At 35.0% G+C, this 20,081-nt stretch overlaps 1 long non-coding RNA gene across 1 annotated transcript in view; it reads left to right on the forward strand.

Moving 5' to 3' along the window:
* LINC02267 (long intergenic non-protein coding RNA 2267) overlaps positions 1 to 20,081 on the forward strand; it is a 507,713-nt gene that overhangs the window by 448,824 nt on the left and 38,808 nt on the right. The window lies entirely within an intron of this gene.

Below are 20,081 nucleotides of genomic sequence, written 5' to 3' on the forward strand. Positions count from 1 at the left end.
TTTTCATTTGTTTGTGTCCTCTTCAGTTTCTTTTGTCAATGTTTTACAGTTTTCCTTCAGAGGTCTTTCAACTCGTTGGCTAAATTTATTCATAGGTGTCTTATTTGTTTTGTAGCTATTGTAAATGAAATGAAATTGCTTTCTTGATGTTTTTCAGTTAGCTTATTATTGGCATATAGCAACACTTGATATTTGTATGTGGATTTTGTATCCTGAAACTTTACCAGATTTGTTTATCATATCTAAAAGAATTTTTGATGGCATCTTCAGGTTTTTCTAGACTTAAGATCACGTATTCTGCAAAGAGGGAGAATTTTACTTCCTCTTTTCTAATTTGGATGGCTTTCCACTTGCCTTTCCGTTTCACTTGCCTGATTTGCCCTGACTAGGACTTTCAGTACTATGTTGAATAGGAGTGATTAAAGTGGGCATCCTTGTCTTGTTCTATATTTTAGAGGAAAGGCTTTCAGATATTCCCCTTTCAGTATGATGTTAGCTGTGAGTTGTCATATATGGCCTTCATTACATTGAAGTATATTCATTCTATGGATCATTTTTTGAAAGTTTTTTTTTTATCAAGAAGTGATACTGAATTTTATCAAATGCTTGTCTGCATCTATGAGGTAATTGTGTGGTTTTTGTCCTTCATTCTGCTAATGGAATATATCACACTTATTGATTTGTGTATGCTGAGCCATCTTTGCATCCTTGCATACACTTATTGATTTGTGTATGCTGAGCCATCCTTGCAATAATAATAAAATAAGAATAAATCCCACTTGACCATGGTATGTTATCTTTTTGATATGCTGTTGGGTTCTGTTTGCTAGTATTTTATTGAGGACTTTTGTGTCTATATTTTTCAGAAATACTAGCCTACAGTTTTCTTTTTTGTTGCATCTTTTCTGGTTTTGGTATCAGGATAATGCTGGCCTCGTAGAATGAGTTAGGAAGAATTTCCTCCTCTTCAATTTTTTGATAGAGTTTGAGAATTGATGTTAGTTCCTCTGTATATGTTTGGTAGTACTTGACAGTGAAGCCATCTGATCATGAGCTTTTCTTTATTGGAAGATTTTTTTATTACTGATTAAATCTTATTACTCATTATTGGTCTGTTCAGGTTTTCTATTCATCTTGATTCAATGTTGGTAAGATTTATGTGTCCAGAAATTTATCTATTTCCTCAATGTTTTCCAGTATGTTAGTGTGAATTTGTTCATAATAATCTCTGCCTATCTTTTGTATTTCTGAGTTATTTGTTCTGATGTGTCCATTTTTCTTACTGATTTTATTTGAGTCCTCTCTTTTCTTCCTGGTTAGTCTGGATAGCAGCTGATTAATTTTATCTTTTAAAAAACTGATTTTCTGTTGATTCTCTATATAGTTGTATTAGTCCTTATTTCCTTTAGTTCTGCTCTGATTTTTATGATTTCTTTCCTTCTACTAATTTTCGCTCTGATTTGTTTTTGCTATTCTAGTTCCTAGAGTTGAATCATTAGGTTGTTTTATTTAAAATCCTTTGCTTTTATGACATAGACATTTTTTGCTATAAACTTCCCTCTTAGCACTGTTTTTCCTGTATCCCATAGGTTTTGGTAGGTTTGTTTGCATTTTCGTTTGTTTCAATTTTTTTTTTATTTTCTTCTTACTTTTTAAATTGAGCTAATGGTCTTTCAGGAGCATGTTGTTTAAGATCCAGGTATTTGTACAACTATCAAACTTCTTATTGATTTCTTGGTTTATTCCATTGTGGTCTGAGATGATACTTTATATGATTTTGGTTTTTGAAAATGCATTGGGACTTCTTTTGTGGCCTAACATATGGTGGATCCTGGAGAAAGTTCTATGTGCTGATGAGAAGAATGTGTATTCTTCAGTTTTTAAATAAAATGTTCTGTAAATACCTGTTAAGGTTATTTAGTCTAAAGTACCACTTAAATCCTGTGTTTCTTTGTTGATTTTCTGTCTAGAAGATCTGTCTAATGCTGAGAGTGGGGTGCCAAAATCCTCAATTATTATTGTATTAGAGTCTATCTCTTCCTTTAGATCTAATAATATTTGCTCTATGTATCTGGGTGCTCTGGTGTTGGGTGCTCCTTTATATCCTCTTGCTGGATTGATCCCTTTATCATTATATAATAACCTTCTTTGTCCCTGTTTATAGTTTTTGACTTAAAGTCTGTTTCATTTGATGCAAGTATAGCTATTCCTGCCTGTTTTTGGTTTTCATTTGCGTGGAATATCTTTTTACAACCCTTTATTTTCAGTCTATATGACACATCACAGGTGAAGTAAGTTTGCTATAAGTAGTATAGAGTTGGGTAAGGTGTTTTTTCCATTCATCCAGCCTATATCTTTTAAATGGATAATTTAATCCATTTACATTCAGCATTATTATTGATATGTAAGTTTTTATTTCTGTCATTTTGCTAATTGTTTTCTGATTGTTTTTTATATCCTTTATTCTTTTCTTCTCTTTTCATTGTTTATCATTGCAGCTTGGTGTTTTTTGTAGTGATGACAACAACAATAACAACAAAAAAAAAAACAGGCTTTTCTGTTCCTCATATGTGTATTTTTCTTTCAAAAGTCTAATAATTGAATTTTAGATTTTTGTCTATTTTTATGACAGTGGATATTATCCTCTCACTTCCAGGCATAGGTCTTCCTTAAACATTTCTTGTAGAGCTGATCTAGTGGTAATGAATTGACTCCGTTTTTGCCTGTCTGGACAAGATTTTATTTCTCCTTCATTTTTGAAGGATAAGTTTATTGGGTGTAGTATTCTTGACTGGCAGGGTTTTGTTTGATTGTTTTCCTCTTTCATCACTTTGAATATATCATCCTATTCTCTCTTGGCCAGTAAGGATTCTGCTGAGCAATCCATTGTTATTCTGATGGGATTTCACTTATATGTGACTTGATTCTTTTCTCTTGCTGTTTTTAGAATTCTCCCTTTTTCTTTGACTATTGACAGATTGACTACAATGTGTCTTGAATAAAACGTTTTTAGGTTGCATGTGTTTGGGAATCTTTGAGCTTCCTGTATTTGGATATTTAAATGTCTTATTAGACTTTGGGAAGTTTTCAGCTATTATTTCCTTAAATCAATTTCTATACCTTTACTCCATTCTTTTCCTCTGGAACACCCATTATTAGAAAATTCTGTCACTATGTGGCATTCCATATGTCAAGTAGGCTTTTCTAATTATGTTTTATTTTTTATTTTTTGTATTTACTGGGTTATTTCTATGACCCATCTTCAATTTTTGAAACAGTTTCTTCTTGATCTGTTGAATCCTTCAATTGTATTTATTATTTCATTCATTGATTTTTTTTATTTGTAGGATTTCTGGGGTTTTTTAAAATAATATTTATCTTTTTGGTGTACTTCTCATTTTTATCCTAAATTGTTTTTCTGATTTATTTGTATTGTTTACTTGTGTTCTCTTGTGTCTTACTGACCTTCTTTAACATTATTATTTTAAATTCTTTTCCAGACATTTCATAATTTTTTTTCATTGGAATCGTTGCTAGAGAATTATTGTGCTCCATTGAAGGTGTCATGTTTCCTTAATTTTTTGTGCTTCTTGTGTCCTTATGTTGATACCTGTGCATCTGGTATAACAGTCACTTTTCCAATTTTTTGGATTGGCTTTCATAGTGGAAGACTTTTTCCTGTAGATATGCCTATGGCGTTTGTTTGGTAAGGCACTTTAGCTTTGATTCTGTGTGCATGCAGTAATGCAGTCTTTGAAGCATTTCTTCAGCTGTAAACAGCATCACTCATGTTTGTGATTTCTTCAGTGGCTTAGGTTGAAGTTGTCAGTGGAGGCTGTGTTGATGATTTTCTGGGGATGAGGATGTCAGGTTGCCAGTCCTTGGCTTCAATTGTTATAGTAGTGGGCTGTGTGTGCTTCTCCTGGACCCCTAAGTGACATATGCATGCACTGATATTAACAGGTTCAAGTGGGTTATTGGTTTGTTCCTTAGGCCTTCATACAACTTGCTTAAGTGACAGCAGTGACAGCAGTGAACTTCGCATGGAGGTGTGTCCCTGGATCATTGGGCAGCATGTATGGCATGCATGATGGCAGTGGCTGTGGCAGAACAACCCTCAGGCTAACAGGTGGCACAAAGTGGTATTAGCCTTGGCAGCAACAGACTCAGAGGGCCAGTCCCCAGGCCCCCAAGTGGTGTGTGTGTGGAGGGGGTTCCAGCAATGGTGGTGGCAGCATGCTGGGCAGGTCCATCTTCAGGTCCCCAGGAGGAGTGTATGGGTGCTGGTGGTGGTGGATAGGGCAGGGCAATACCCAGGCTTCTGGATGGCATGCTCAGCAATGGCAGTCGTTCTGAGCATACCGTTAGCTTTCTAAATGTGTGCATGCATGCCCAGGGCAACTGATAGAGGGATAGAGGTGAATCCCCAGGCTCCAGATAGAGTGCTGGAACTGCAGGGGTACAATGCCAGGCTGGGTGCATCTATCCTTAAGCCCCATGACGGTGTACACAGGTGCAGGCTGTGGTGGGCTAAGCAGGGAAACCCCCAGGCCTATGGATGGTGTGCTTGGGCACTAATTGTTGCAGGTATTCTGGTCCTGTTATTAGGGCTCCCGGCAGTGCATAGGCATACCCAAGGTGACTGACAAGGCCCCCTGGGTGGTGTGCTCAGGCACTGGGAGAAGTGGCTCCTGGTAGTTGGTCCTCAGGGCTACATAGGTAAAAGCTGTGAATGGGGTTGGAGGGTGAGCCAATTCTGAAGTTCCTGGGTAGTGTGCTTGGGTAGTTGTGGCTGCAGCGGCAGTTGGCAGGGAGAACCCATCATCAGGGCATGTGTAAGTGCACTGTGGCTGTGCTGCTGAGGGGAGCCTGGATGCTATCAGTAAGAGCAGCTTTAGGCGGAGGGCACTCAGATGCTAGGGAGCATATACTTTGGCTCCCTTTGTCCTGAGAGCAGCCTCCCCAGTGTGCTACATCATTCATTTTCCAAAGTATAGGATAGTGTGTGGGCTAGAGTGCTGGAGATCTGCCTGCACTATGGGTCCAACAAGTGTCATGCCACTACATCCCTCTGGATGGATGTAGGAGATGTTGCTAGGTCTCCAGGGATGTGGAAATGCTGAGACTGTTGGAACCCGGGGCCTAATACTGTCTGATGGGGGTTGGGATCTCAAAATGGTGCCATGCTACTACTGCTTGGGTTTCAGGAATTGTGTGAGATGTGAGACCCCAGTGTGAACTTCATCTCTGGAGCACTGCCTTTGCATAGACTCCAGGTAGCTCCTTTTACTAGTCTCAGAGTCTACAGGGATAGAGGAGCTCTCCTGTGATAAGGATTGCAGGAATCCATGGTATGAATATGGATTGCTGGGGACCTCTCATTTACTCTTTCCCAATACTAAGGAGCCTTTGCAGGCTCACAGCCGATCCCGGCTGGGCTGGCTATCTTGCTTCCTTCTTCCACGCCTCAGGTGTTTTCTGTCATTTCTTTGTTGCATTCTAGTGATCTCTGTTAGATACTCTATTTAAAGTGTGATTATCCACTCCCTGTTTTGATTCTTCCTTGTGGAGGAGGCAAGTGTCACATGCCTCTAGTAATTCATGATGAAGGCCCCCTTCAAAAAGTTTTTAAAATAAAAATCAGCAATTTCTCCACTCCAAAAAAGTCACCATCCATATATGATGCAAATAAAAATGACTTCAGGGTTTTGTGTAGTTGACATTAGGTAGGAAAAGTTATTCTATTTGACACGCATCCAAGGAATGCTCTCATTTTAATGGCTCAGTTATTGTGACATTCAATAACTAGAGTGGAAAACATAATCCCAGGATATTACTTGCATAAAAGAAGAGTTCAGTACATTGGCATTATCAGTCCTGCCCACAGGTGTCAGCCACTTACCACATGCATGTCTGCATGCACAGGTTTACTTTTGGCTCATGTTCATGTCTATCACTTCTTCCTCCTGTGATCTGCCTAAAATGTAATGTTCAACATGTCCTATATCTCTCAAGATGCTTGTTACTCTTTGAAATTTAGTTCACCTACAACTTCAATCTTACAAAATCTCTAGAGGGGTAAAGTTATAATTATGCAATTCGTATGGCTTTTTTTGGTGGTGGGGAAGCAATATCTTTCTCTTAATGGCTTTCTAAGTAAAAGTGGAACTCAAGTTTATTTTTCATATTGAAAACTTAGGCCAAGTGTGGTGGCTAATGCCTGTAATTCCAGCACTTTGGGAGGCCGAGGCAGGCAGATCATCTGAGGTCGGGAGTTCCAGACCAGCCTGACCAACATGGAGAAACCCCTTCTCTACTAAAAATACAAAATTAGCTGGGTGTGGTGGTGCATGCCTGTAAATCCAGCTACTCAGGAGGCTGAGGCAGGAGAATCGCTTGAACCCAGGAGATGGAGGTTGCAGTGAGCCGAGATCAGACCATTGCACTTTAGCCTGGATGACAGAGTGAGACTTTGTCTAAAAAAAAAAAAAAAAGTAAACTTAATAATTGACTGTGTCTCCCAATTTAACTGGAGCATGAAAGCTCATAACAAAAATGAAGTTCAATAATTATATCAATAAAAAAATCTGGCTTAAATATTTTATTTTATTCAGATTTCCCTACCTGTTCTTGGTTTTCCTATCTCTATTATGTCAGTAGCACATGCATTTATTTTCATCTATTTAAGACTTTGTGGTTTGAAATGGGTTAAAGTTTAAAATATGTGTTATTACTCTTCATTTTACAAGTGAAAAATGAGAGGCACAAACAGTTTGAATAATTTATCTAGACACATGTAGATTGTTGCTTATAGCCCAATTTGCATGTCAACTCAATCGAATATTAGTATTTGTGCATATCTGGGAAAGTCTGTCAAATTGAGTCAAAGTCTGTTTGTATCAAGAACTTAGAAGTCTCTTGGGAATCTATTTACGCTATGGGAAGAAAGAAAAGCAGACAAGTTTGATCTAGTAACAAAACATTAGTCATTAGAGTCAGGGGATAATCAGAATTTAGTAAGGTGTTTGTAACTCAAATGTGTCTTCTGACTCACTTTCTCATAGGGAATGGGTGATTCTTCCAAAGTCCTCAGGCACTGGGCCAAGATTACACTAAAGAACACAAGCGCAAACTATTAGAGGTGGTATATTTAAAAACTCAAACGCTGACAAGTTCAATATTTTTCGCTTTCTCCTGGTGTGAAAAAAGTAGCCACTTCTTTTACAGCCACTGTGATATGGTGCCTTCCATACTGTAGGTTGTCAAAAAATGTTTATCAAATAATACACGTATTGAATAACTTGCAGTTCCCCTCATTTGTTTAGCTTTGGTGAATACAGACCACATTATTGTAAGACAATTTCTTCTTGATTTAGTTCTTAAATGGCATATCCCTTAAGTACAGCACATTCTAGCACAATAAACGTATCTCTGAGGCACTACAGTACACACATTACACACTCATGAATTCTTGCTATTCATGTGCCTATCCTTGCTCTTGTTTCTCTTTCCACACAATCTGGCTAGATTCCAAGTAAAAATTATCATTCACTTATCACAATAATTAATTTTTGTTTACTATTGATACATCCATTCCTACATTCTTCACAAAAGACAAGGAGAAATGATGCATGTGTGTGTGTGTGTGTGTGTGCATGTGGTAGGCAGAAGTGACAGTAACTGTAGATAAAGGCCACAAGATTTATTTCACAAAAGTTTTTGCAACATATTGCAGTATAAGCACAAAGGCTTTTGGCTTCCCTGAGGAGATAAACAACACTCAAGCAGAGAAAGGAAAACTGCCAGCTACTATAAGGTTCACAAATTGACTTTATCAGACTAAGGTCTTCAAAAAACACAAATGCTTGTGGATATTGACAGCAGCAATGGTGTTACCCAGAGGGAGGCAATGACAGTGATGCCTAATAGTAAACACCTTAGTGAGAGGGGAGAGAATCCCCTAGCATGGCCTCAGATATGGAGGTGACCAGAGTTGAAGAAAGGTAAAAGAGAATGATAGACAAGTTCTGTTTACGTGTGACAGATGACCAGAGTAGATTTAGAATTTACTAAGATGGGGAGACTTCTGAAGGTATAAGCTTTCAATAGAAACAGGATAAATTACCAAGGATTGTCAATTCACAAATGGTTAAAAAGAGGCATATTTAGGATATTAACATACATTAACTACAAATTCTTTATTGTTACTATAAATCCAGTTAGTGGAAGTAAGGGAGAACATTTTCACTATCGTTATTTTTTTTAGTATTATTTAGTATTATTATAACCGTTTTTGCTTCCTAACATAGTACTTACTCTTCTTGTGATTAAAAATATTATTATTTATATGGAAATATAAAATGGTAGAACTGGAGGGGATCTTTGATATCATCTCATGGCATAATATCATATTGCAAGGAGATAATTTGAGCTAAGTACATTATCTAACTTACCCATCTGGTGGTCAAGCATGTATTACTAACTCAGAAAGTCATACTGTGGATCTTATGACACTATACTGTAACATTTGGAACACTGTGCCTTTTCAGAATTGCTATTTTTTGACATAAGCAATCAGATTCAGAATCTAAATTTTGCATGAAACAGAATCATTAAAATAAAAAGTTGTCAAAAACAGCATACAAAAAAGGATAAGAAAATCTAAATTTACATCTTCATATGGATAATTTATAAAATAAATGTTTGAAGTTTCAAAATCAGTTCCATGACTCATGAATTCCATTACTCATTTTGAAAATATCAAATAATCGTGACAGCATGGAGAGAAAAAGTTGAATTCGTACAGATATTTATTTAAAGAGTTGTTGCCGTGTTATGCATTTTCTTGAAAGAGGTGGGTGTCAACACCTCCTTCGCCTAAAGTCTAATGAAGGGGCCTTTATGGGACCACTCAGAGACCTTGAAATGGATTTGTTGCAGTTGAGAGGAAAAGAAGTCTGAGGCCAGACTCAATCACAAGGAAAAAAAACAGCTAAAGTATGTCCTGAGGCAGTAAGATAGAGGTGATTATGTTAGGATCAGGCTAAACTTCCATGATTTTCTTGGATCAAGTAACATATGAATGTTTCCCAGGCAACATAACTGTCCTATATAGAAAATCAAGTAAATCTAGAACCACTTAAATTTTTCTTTCAATAGGATCACCAAAGAGATTGAAGGAAATCCAGTAGTATAGATTCATTGTGGAACATTGATGTGGAATTGAACATCAATGAACCGGGGCCTGAAGTTACTCCTGTGAGTCAGAGTAATAGAAAACATTGTCAAGAGGTAAAAGTTCTGCCTATGGGATTCACCTAAGAACTCTCCAAAAGAAATGAGGACACAATCAGTAAATTCAAAGTTAACGACTTTGTAACTTCAGATTATATGGAACCACTCTCTCCAGTAAGAACCACATTAACTCTACTCGCCACTCACCTCTATTTGATTAGAACAGGAACAGAGGATAGACAGTGAAGAAGGAAGTGAACAAGAAGAAAGAGAGCAATGTTAGAGAATCAAGCAACCCTGTGATACAATGGTAAAATATATTTCACAAAAACAGACACTTCACAAAGAAGGATGTACATTTTTTTAATGGATTGTGCTTTTAGTGTTATTTCCAAGAAATCTTGGGCTAACCCAAGGTAACAAAGATTTCCTCCTTGGTTTTCTTCTAGAAGTTTTATAATTTTAAAATAAATCTTTAGGACTATAAATAATTTTGAGTAAACTTTATTAAATATTACAAAGTATGAATCGGAGTTTTTATTTATTTTTTCATATGGATATCCAATTGTTCCAGCATAATTTTTTTAAATGTCTGTTTTCTGAATTAAATTGCATTTGTAATGGTGAAAAATCAGTTCATTACACATATTTGGCACTATTTACTAATTCTTTATTTGTTTCATTGCTCTATTTGTCAGTCTTCATACCAATACTGCACTGTTTGGCTTAATGTCACTTTAATGTCTTGAAGTCAAGTAGTGTAATTTCTATAACTGCTTCCTTTATTTCCAAAGTTGTTTGGATTATTGTATAATTTTTTGCATTTTTATATGAGTTCTATAATTATCTAGGACATTTTCCTTACAAATCTTTCTGGAACTGTTACTGAGATTGAGTCAGTTGTGTATTGAATCTGTGGATCAATGTTGGGGGAACTGACATCTGAAAAATATTAGGTTTTCTGATCTAAGAAAATTGTTTACTTCTGTTTTTTAATACTTATTTCTCTTGGCAATTTTGTGTAGTTTTAAGTGTTTAGGTCCTTCACATACCATTAATCAGATTTTTTCATAAATTCTAGATAGTTTTTAAGATAGATATTTTGATGCATTTAAAAATTTTCAATTTATGCTTATTGCTGGTATATATAAACACAAATGAGTTTGTTAATATTGATATTATATATCCCACAGCATTGCTAAACTCACTTTTTAGTTCAAATAGCTTATATGTAAGTTTGATTTGGTTTTCTATGTAGACGATTATGTCATCTGCAAGTAAAGGCCATCTAATTCCTTTACTTTTAGGTTGGATTGCTTTTCTTCCTTTTCTTGCCTATTGCACTGGCTAGAATATCCAATGGAAAAAGCTTACACAGAAGAAGTAAACAATGGCATTCTTGCTTTGTTTTTGATCTTAGGGAGAATGCATTCAATCTTTCACCATTAAATATGACGTTAGCTGTAACCTATTTGCAATTGTCCTTGTTATGCTAATGGGAGTTCCCTTCCGTTTCTGGTTTTCTCATAGTTTTTAGAAGAAGTGTATATACATAGTATCAAATGATTTTTCTGTGTCTACTGAGATCATCATATAACGTTCTTGCTTTTAGTCTGTTCATAAGGTAAATTACATCGATCAATTTTTAAAATATATTATATTATATATATTAAACCAAACGCGTTTCTACGATTAAACTCTGCTTGGTTATAATATATCATCCTTTTTAATATATTGTCAGATTTGATTTGTTAAGAATTTGTTAACCTTTTGATCCATGTTCATTAGAGATTATCATTATAGGCAATAAAAGTATAGTTTTTCAGGTTTGTATTTGCTTTTGTTTTTCGAGTAATGTTGGCCTTATAAAATGTCATTAAATATGATTGATCCTCTTTAATTTGGGGAGAAATTTTACCTACTGTTCTTCCTTAAATGTCTGTTAGACTTTCCAGTGAAGCCATTATGACCTAGAGTTTTCTTTGTGGAATTAAAAATAAATTTCAATTGCTTTAATATATATAGAGATAGTTTTCTATGTCTTATTAAATAACTTTAATGGTTTGTGTCTTTCAAGGATTTAGTCTTTTTTAAATTGTTAAGCTCATTGGCATAAAGTTGTTAATATTTTATATTATCATTTTAGTATTTGAAAAATTTGTAAAGGTGTCATTATTCTCATTCCTGATATTGGAATTTGTATATTCTCTCTCTTTTCTCTTGCATCTGAATAGTTTCACTGGCTTATACATTTCACTGATCTTCACAAGGAACTAACTTTTGGTTCCGTTTTTTTTTCTCTACTTTTTGGTCTACTTTTCATTGATTTTTCGCTCTGATGTTTATTTTTTCTTTGTCTACTTTGAGTTTTATTTGCTTTTTACGCAGATTTTAAGGTGGAAAACAAAATTATTGACTTGAGTTATTTCTTCTGTTGTATTAAATAGGCATGTAACGTTACATATTTTCCTATAGGTGATATTTTAGTTGCATCTTACAAATTTTAAAATATGTTTTAATGACATTTTTATTTAGTAAAATATATTTTCTAAAGTGTCTTTTTTCTTTTTTGATCCATGAGTTGTTTAGAAATGTGTTATTTAGTTTCAAATAATTGGGGACTTTTCAGGTATCTTTCTGTTGTTCCACGGTGATCAAAGGACATATTTTGCATGATGTAAATCACTTTCAATTATTTTTACTTGTTTCTGGCCCACAGCTTGGTGTATCTTGGCAAATATTACATGTACACTTGTAAATAATATTTATTCTGCTGTTGTTGAGTGGAGTATTCCATATATGTCGATTAGGTCAATTTTGTTAACAATGTGTTCAAGTCTTCTATATAGTTTTTCGTTAACATTTCTATCAAATATTAAGAAAAATGTGATGAAATATTTAAGTATAGCTATGGATTTGTCTATTTCTCCTTGAAGTTTTATAGATTATTGCTTCATATATTTTGAAGCTGTTATTAGGTACATAAAGTTTTAGATAGTTATTTTCTCTTAATGAACGAGCTCTTTCATTACAATTTATTAGCTCTTATCATCCCTTTTAATATTGTTTTCTCTGACATCGACTTTGTTTGATATTAAAATTAACCACTCCAAATTTTAAAAATTAAGGTTATCATTACATATTATGTTCCACCTCTTTAATTTTTAACATATTTATATTTTTTAAAATATTGTGGATCTTGATTTTTAAAATCTAATCTGATAATCAGTCTTCTAATTTACATTCAATGCTAGTTTATATATGGTTTGCTTTGGCTATCATTTTGCTATTTATTTTCAATTTATTCTACTTGTTCTTTTCGTCATTTTTGCTCTTTTTATACCTCCTTTCACATTAAGTATTTTTTAAAATTCCACTTTAGATTTTTGTTGGCTTATTAGATATATCTCTGAGTTGTACTTTTAGTGATAGCTTAAAGGTTTATAGTGTACATCTGAAACTTATCATAGTCTACCTTCAAGTAATAGTATATGTTTTCATATACGGTATAAAAGCACACTGTATTATACTTGTATTTCTCCCCTTTCAGTCCTTGGGATATTGGTGCCATACTGTTTTACACACACACACACACACACACACACACACACACAAAACACACACACACACACATTTATGAGTTGTTTTTGCATTTAATAGTCAAGTAACTTTTGAAAAGATTTACATAATCATATACAGTATTTTATCTATTCACATAGTTACCAATTCTGATGGTCTTTCAGATCTTGCTTTTAAAGATTTTGCAGGAAGGACCAGAGCATCACTTAGTCTGGGTTTAATTCTTCTCATTATTAAGGCAAAAACATTTTGAAAAGTTTCTTCACTACCCTGAAAATTATGAGGTATACTACTGTGACTATTGGGAACAGGTTCTATTCTCTGCTCTATATGAGGGAGCTTCCAGTATTTTTACCTCTTACTTATATTATTCTGTCTCTGTTCTTGTGTAGTTCATACCTCACATTGTTTCACATCATCACTGAGAAAAAAATTCAAACACATTGAAACAAAACTCTGCAATAGACATCTGAGAATTTGGACACTTAGTATCGGTATTTTGAAGTGTTTCATTAATATCTTAAGACAAGTGTATCAAAACCATTGGCATATTTTAATTTCAAATCACCAAATTTGTTTTTACTAACATGACAAACTAAGGATTCACTGTCAATGCTACATCTGCTTAATTTGACTTGAGTTTACAGGGAAGGACATCTAAAAGTCATGACTTTGAGAAAGTCGTAATTTAGTCATTTTTATGTATTGTGGACCCACAGATAGCTAGCTGAGCTCTAGAAATTATGAGGGGAAATCAAGGAGATATAAAATACTTTCCAATATTCTAAAATAATACACATATACTTCAGAACCAACAAAATAAATTTAAAGAAAATACAGATAAACATTTATGGAAAAACATATAAATACATATTAACATACTTTAAAATGTCTATGTGGTTTCAATTTTATTAAAAATTAAAATATATAAAAATAGTACATTTGATATTTTAAATATATGGTTATTAATTATGGACCCTCATAGGATATAACTGGATTCAATAATGAATAAAAACATCTCTATAAAGTGGTAGCTTTGCTAAATTAGAACAGTTAATCTCTAGCCTATTAGTCTCCTACATGCTGAGGCAGCCATGGAAATAAAAATGTGTAATAGAATTACACTTGTTATTAAATATGGGAATTTCTCTTAAGACCTCTATTGACAGGAAATGTTTCTTACTACATTCGATTTTAAGTTCAGAGAGGTCCAGATACATGTTTGTATGGCCTTACTTAGGGCTGCCATTTCAACAGAGCCAGTATTCCTTTATTTTTCTCTACCCTCCCAGATAAGATGAGATAACTAAGAGAGAAAAAGAGGTTACTTGTAGAGACAGTGGAGTATTCATAAAAAGAGGGAAGAGATACCTCACAGAAATTGCTCATAATGCTAGAAATGAAATAGCATATGGTGTAAGTTGGTATTACCACTCTTTGCCTGAGTTTTTGATACCAGGAAGCATGGAGATTTGAATTTAAATGTGCCTATCGGATCCAGATCTAGAGGATCTCCAGTGTTAGTCTCAAAGAAGTATGACAATCAAGAAATGTTGCTTGAGGACTTTGGCTATAAGCCACCTTGAAGTTAGCTGAGAAAAATGTGGTCAAATCTTTTAAAGGACAATAGTATCTAGAGGAGCTGTTTGAGAGAAAACCCTCCAAGCTGTGGATCCTATTGCAGTCACCATCTTTTCACATCATTCCCAACAAAGGCAGTGTGGTGGACATGGTGTTGGGTCATCCAGTTTTCTGTCTTCAAGGAAGGACTTATTGCCATAGCTTCTGGCCATTGCTATTTGCACACAGCCTTGAACTGTCAGCTTCTAGAGGGATTGCCTCAGGTACAGAGAACCACCTCACCAAAGGTCATGGCTAGCATCCAATGACTGAGAGAGCAGAGGACGAAATAATTCAGAACAATTCTCAAAGCCCATTTTAGGTCCAGAGCTCTTGAGCGAGTATGCAATAGCTGTTCCCAGGCCCACACTGTATCTCAAATTCCTGTTTTGCCCAGGTAGGCTTCCTTCTCCAAGAGTTTTTTCAGATAAATGTATTAGAAGCTATACTCATCTGATTCTACTTCCCAGAAACCCAACCCCATTGACAAGCAGTTACGGCTAATCAGATAAAGAACAGGAACCTCTCCCTGGGCAGTTTAGTAAAAAAAAAAAAAAAATACCCCTTTTCTAAGATATACACTAACAATATTTGCTGGGAAAAAAGACAGAGGCCATGTGGCAGAACATTCTTGTGATATGAAGAAAGAGGTTTAACTACAAAATGAGAGAAATTTTCAAATGACTTGACTGAGTCTTCTAGGCAGTGATTAGATTTTTCAGATATGAAATAATGATTGAAAAGTCATGGTTTCAGACTTAAATATCATCAAAAAGCCTGATTCCATGTAGAAATGAGGAAATCTAGATAGTGGGTAGATTTTAAAACAAAAATTTTGAAAACACTTCTTATTTATCAACAAATGAATTGAAATCCTTTCTCAGCCAGTAATATGTGTGTGCGTGTGTGTGTGTGTGTGTGTGTTTGTGTGTGTGTGGTTGGTGCAAGTCCAATGAATAGAAAAACATGTCATGAAATCAATCTTTTGTCCTCCTTTATAGAAACATCGTATTTCAAATAATGACAATGTATATCTGTCTTCAGAGCCTTAAGCTAAATTGGAATTCCAGTACCAGGGCAGCTAGCAACTTTGCCCTGATGGGAAACACATGCCTCAAGGCATGTGTGCTTACAGCTTGCCTTTCACAGGGTAGTCTTTTTATCTGGTGGATGGTCTAATACCTAGTTTTCTGACATTTGACCATGTGTTTTTCACACAGGAAATTTATTAACATTGGCAGACACCTTTGTGGTTCTTATCTGACCTATGTCCAGTTTATACCTGTCTGACCATTCCTCTGGTTTGAGGAGACTGCCCTTGTGTTCTCCTTGGCATCCGGGAGAAAATTCAACCTATGGTAGCCCCTGGTTCTCCAGGTGAGAGGTTCAAATTCAGTACACCACCATAATTTGAAATCAGTCCAAAGATATGTTACCTACAGATTCTGAGCAGGATGGGAACAATGAGTTAGGTGGGCAGCTCTCTGTCCTTTGGTCAGGGGTAGGCAGGAATGAAGAATCTAGCTGAGAGAGAGAGCCCATATACAGCTAGCAGTATATATTGGGGAATAGGAAGTGGATCACTTTAACTTCAGGGCCACATATCAGAATGATCTATTTAAAGAAAGCATCAGAAAAGTGGGAAGCCCAGTATGCTGGGCAGAAAAGGTGCCCCTAAGTTCTTATCTCTGGCCACTGGCTTTCGCTATTTGGGTGTGGTGTTCTATTTCTAATGTCTAGGCAACAACCTTTTTTATGTTGTTCCCATTACAGGCCTATATCTGGATGGACCACATTGAGGAACTGGGAGGAGACATAGAGCTAGAAACTGTGTCATGGGGGACCAAGTCCCGCTTCTAGTATAAAAAAGTTAAACTTATATTCTAAATAAATGCCAAGGCAACATAAAATTCTAAGAATTTGCTATAACACTTCACAGTCAAAATATGTCTACTTGTTTATATCAATGAGCTTCATACTCACAGCATTATTTATTCACTTTATTGACCATCACAATATGTCAGTTGATTCCAATATGACTTTTAAATTTCACTATAGTAAAATTTATTTAAGTAGACAGGTTTCTTTGGCCAGGAACATCTTAGAATGAGCAGTTATGAATTTCCAATGCTACTGAATACAAATTTAAATGAAATTTTTAACTTCAAAATTTAAAAGACTAAATAACAGCGATAAGCTACATGCTACACTTTTATTATGAGAAAAGCTTGGATTCCTTTTGGGAAGAGTTTCCCAGAGCCTTTACATCTTTTTCTAAGCTGTTAAGTGTGTTACTGTTTTTGTCCAAACCTAAATGCAAAAGAAAAAATAAGGCTTGAAGTCACAGGTAATGAAGAAGCATAAAGTCAATTAATAAATGAAAAGGTTATGATTGACAGGGCCAGGGCCATATCACAGCAGTATTCAAATATTTAAGTCATTTCATCCTTTTAAGCCAAAAATTAAAAAAAAATTCTGAGACTGAGAAAAATAATACTGAGGCTGAAAAAATAAGTGCTAAATAAAAACATGTTGAATAAATGAAAGTAAATTCCTAAATAACTGATCAATATGAGCTACAAAACGCCAAAACTATTAGACTTGCTCTTTCTCTCTCTCTATATATATATGTGTGTGTGTGTGTGTGTGTATCATATAGTGTGTATATATGCACATATATGTGTAGATACTTATTACATAAACTAAAACTCTACAATTTATTCATAAATATCCCAGGTGTGCTTGATTGTAAGCTTGTGGGATGAACAAAAAACCATAAGTGGAAGCAAGTTCTTTGGCCTAATTATTTGTCTCTTTTAAGATCCACTAAATACATACACAGCTTAGAATACCTTTAGAGGCCAAATAAATGCAGAAGCTATATAATTAATGTTGAGGAGAAACAGCTTAGAATAAGGCTGACACTAGCATGAGGCAAAGTTGGATGAAGACATATTTCACATCCAGAGGGTTCAAAACAGAGAATATATCTACTTCTGGGGCATGGATAAGAATGCAAATAAAACCACTGAACCAAAATCCTGGCAGTTAGAGAAATACTCTGGAAGATACAGATGTCAGTTTGGACAGTAATGGTGATTAGTGTGATTTGGTAATTGAAAAGAGGCAGCAAAGGCGGAATCTGAAATCTTCTACATTCAGGTCCAGTGATACATTGTTATTTGACTCAATTAACTTAAATTACTAAGATATAACTGAATAAGTTATGTCATTAATTATGACTCATCCAAGCACATGCTGTTTAGCAAGGAAATTTTGAGTTTTGTAGGCTATAAATTAAGAGTTAATGGGAGTCTGTAAACAACATTTGATTTCAGGAACACAGCGTTCTGTTTTCTTAAAGAAGACTAATGACTTAAAATGGCATCTTGCCTCACTGGTTAACCAACAGAAAGAGAAGACAGGGACTGTGAATTCTAATTTTAAATAATGATTTATCTCACACTAGGTGAGGCAATTAGCTTTGGTTTCCTTGGATATAAAATGGAACAAATAATACCCAATTACCTTGTTGGAACATCATAATGAGAAACCCAGGATGCATACTTACAAATAACCTTAAAAATATAAAGTTCTAAATTACATAAATAATGATGTTTCCAAATCCATCAGTCACATGCAAAGTGTGCTGCCAGTTTTATGCTACATTCTTGAGCTCATAACATGAAAAGGTCCATGAATATGTGAAAATTGTTTTCATTTTTCTAGACAAAATGACTATAAGACAAAATTAAATGTATTCAAAGAATTTTAAAGTTACAAAATTTAAGACAGTGTAGCATTAGCCCAAGGATGAAAACACTGACCAATGGAACAGAAAAAAATTGCAGAAAGAGACCCACATGTTCACAGTCATTGAACTGTCAAAACAATTACTGCAGTGCAGTGAGAAAAAGATCATCTTTTTAACACATGGTGCCAAATGATTAGATATAATATTGAAAAACATATGACTAGACTATAACTACAACTATGTACTAAAATCAGTTATAATTGGATTATGAACCTATATGTGAAATGTAAAGCAGTTAAGTTTCTTATAGAAAACATTTCAGGACTTGGGGAATAGTCAGAGATTTCTTACATAGGATAAAGTAACTATTAACCTTAAAAGAGATTGAAAAATTGGACTACATTAAAATTAAAAACATTCATTTGTCAATAGATTCTATTCAGAAAGTGAAATATAAGCCAGAGGATTGATGAAAAGGTGTGTAATCATAATCTGACAAAGGATTTGCGTGCAGAAAATATTTTTAAACTCCTAAAATCAATTAAAAACAAAGAAAATAAAATAGAAAAATGGACAAAGTAATTAAGCACATGCACTTTTTAAAAAAGGGTTATCTAAGCCAGGCATGGTGGCTCACACCTGTAATCCCAGCACTTTGGGAGGCCAAGGTAAGCGGATCATCTGAGGTCAGGAGTTCGAGATCAGCCTGGCCAACATGGTGAAACCCTGTCTCTACAAAAAAATACAAAAAAATTACCCAGGTGTGGTGGTGCACACCTGTAATCCCAGCTACTCATGAGGCTAAGATGGGAGGATCCCTTGAACTCGGGAGGCAGCGGTTGCAGTAATCCAAGATTATGTCACTGCACTTCAGCCTGGACAATAGATTAAGCTTGTCTAAAAAAAAAAAAAAAAGGTTATCTAAAGGACTAAATATGTAAAGAGGTAATCAACCTCAGTAGTCAGCAGTTAAATATAAATGAAAACCTTAAAGGAATAATTTCCAACAGGTTGGCTGAAATTTCAAAGATGTCTGTTATGGGCTGAATTGTGATCTCCTAAAAATTCATATGTGAATACCTAACCCCCAATATCTCAGAATGTGATTGCATTTCTAGAAAAGATCTTAAAGGCATAATTAAGTTTAAATAAAGTCACTGGAGTAGATACTAATCCACTATGATTGCTGTGCTTACGGAAGAGGAGATTAGGACACAGACAATACCGAGGAAAGACCATGTAAAGACAGGGAGAGAAGATGGCCGTCTACAAGCCACCAAGAGAAGCTTCAGAAGTGACAATCCTGCCAACACCTTGACCTTGCACTTCTAGCATCCAAAACTGTAAAATAGCTTCTGTTATTTAAGCCACCAAGTCTGAGGTACTTTGTTGTGGCAGCCGTAATAAACTAATACGAGGATAATACCAAGCATTGTTTGAAAAAGTATATGTTCATACACACCTGATGGGTGTATAAGTTAGTATGACCACTCTGGAAAACTTCTGACAGTACCGACTAAAGCTGAAAAGATATTCTATGATCTGTTTATGAGTGAAAATATATGCACCAAAGGACATGTACAATATCCATAGCCCAAAAGAGTGCCAACCTAAATGTCCATCAACAATAGAAAAGATAAACGAATGGTGGCTTTTTTTTTTTTTTTGCTATGTATCTTTTTGGAGCAAAGAGAAACAACAGATGATTATTATATGCAAAAGCATGAATAAATTTTTACAAACATAATGCTTAGCAGAATGTCAGACATGAAAGAGCACATGCTGTATGGTTTCATTTTCTATAAAATTCTAAAATAGGCATAATTAATCTACAATGAAAGAAATAAAGATACTGGTTACCTTTGGGGAGGAAGGAAGAAGGTAGTGACTGGGA

This window comes from Homo sapiens, chromosome 4, assembly GCF_000001405.40.
Source record: "Homo sapiens chromosome 4, GRCh38.p14 Primary Assembly".
NCBI lineage: Eukaryota > Metazoa > Chordata > Mammalia > Primates > Hominidae > Homo > Homo sapiens.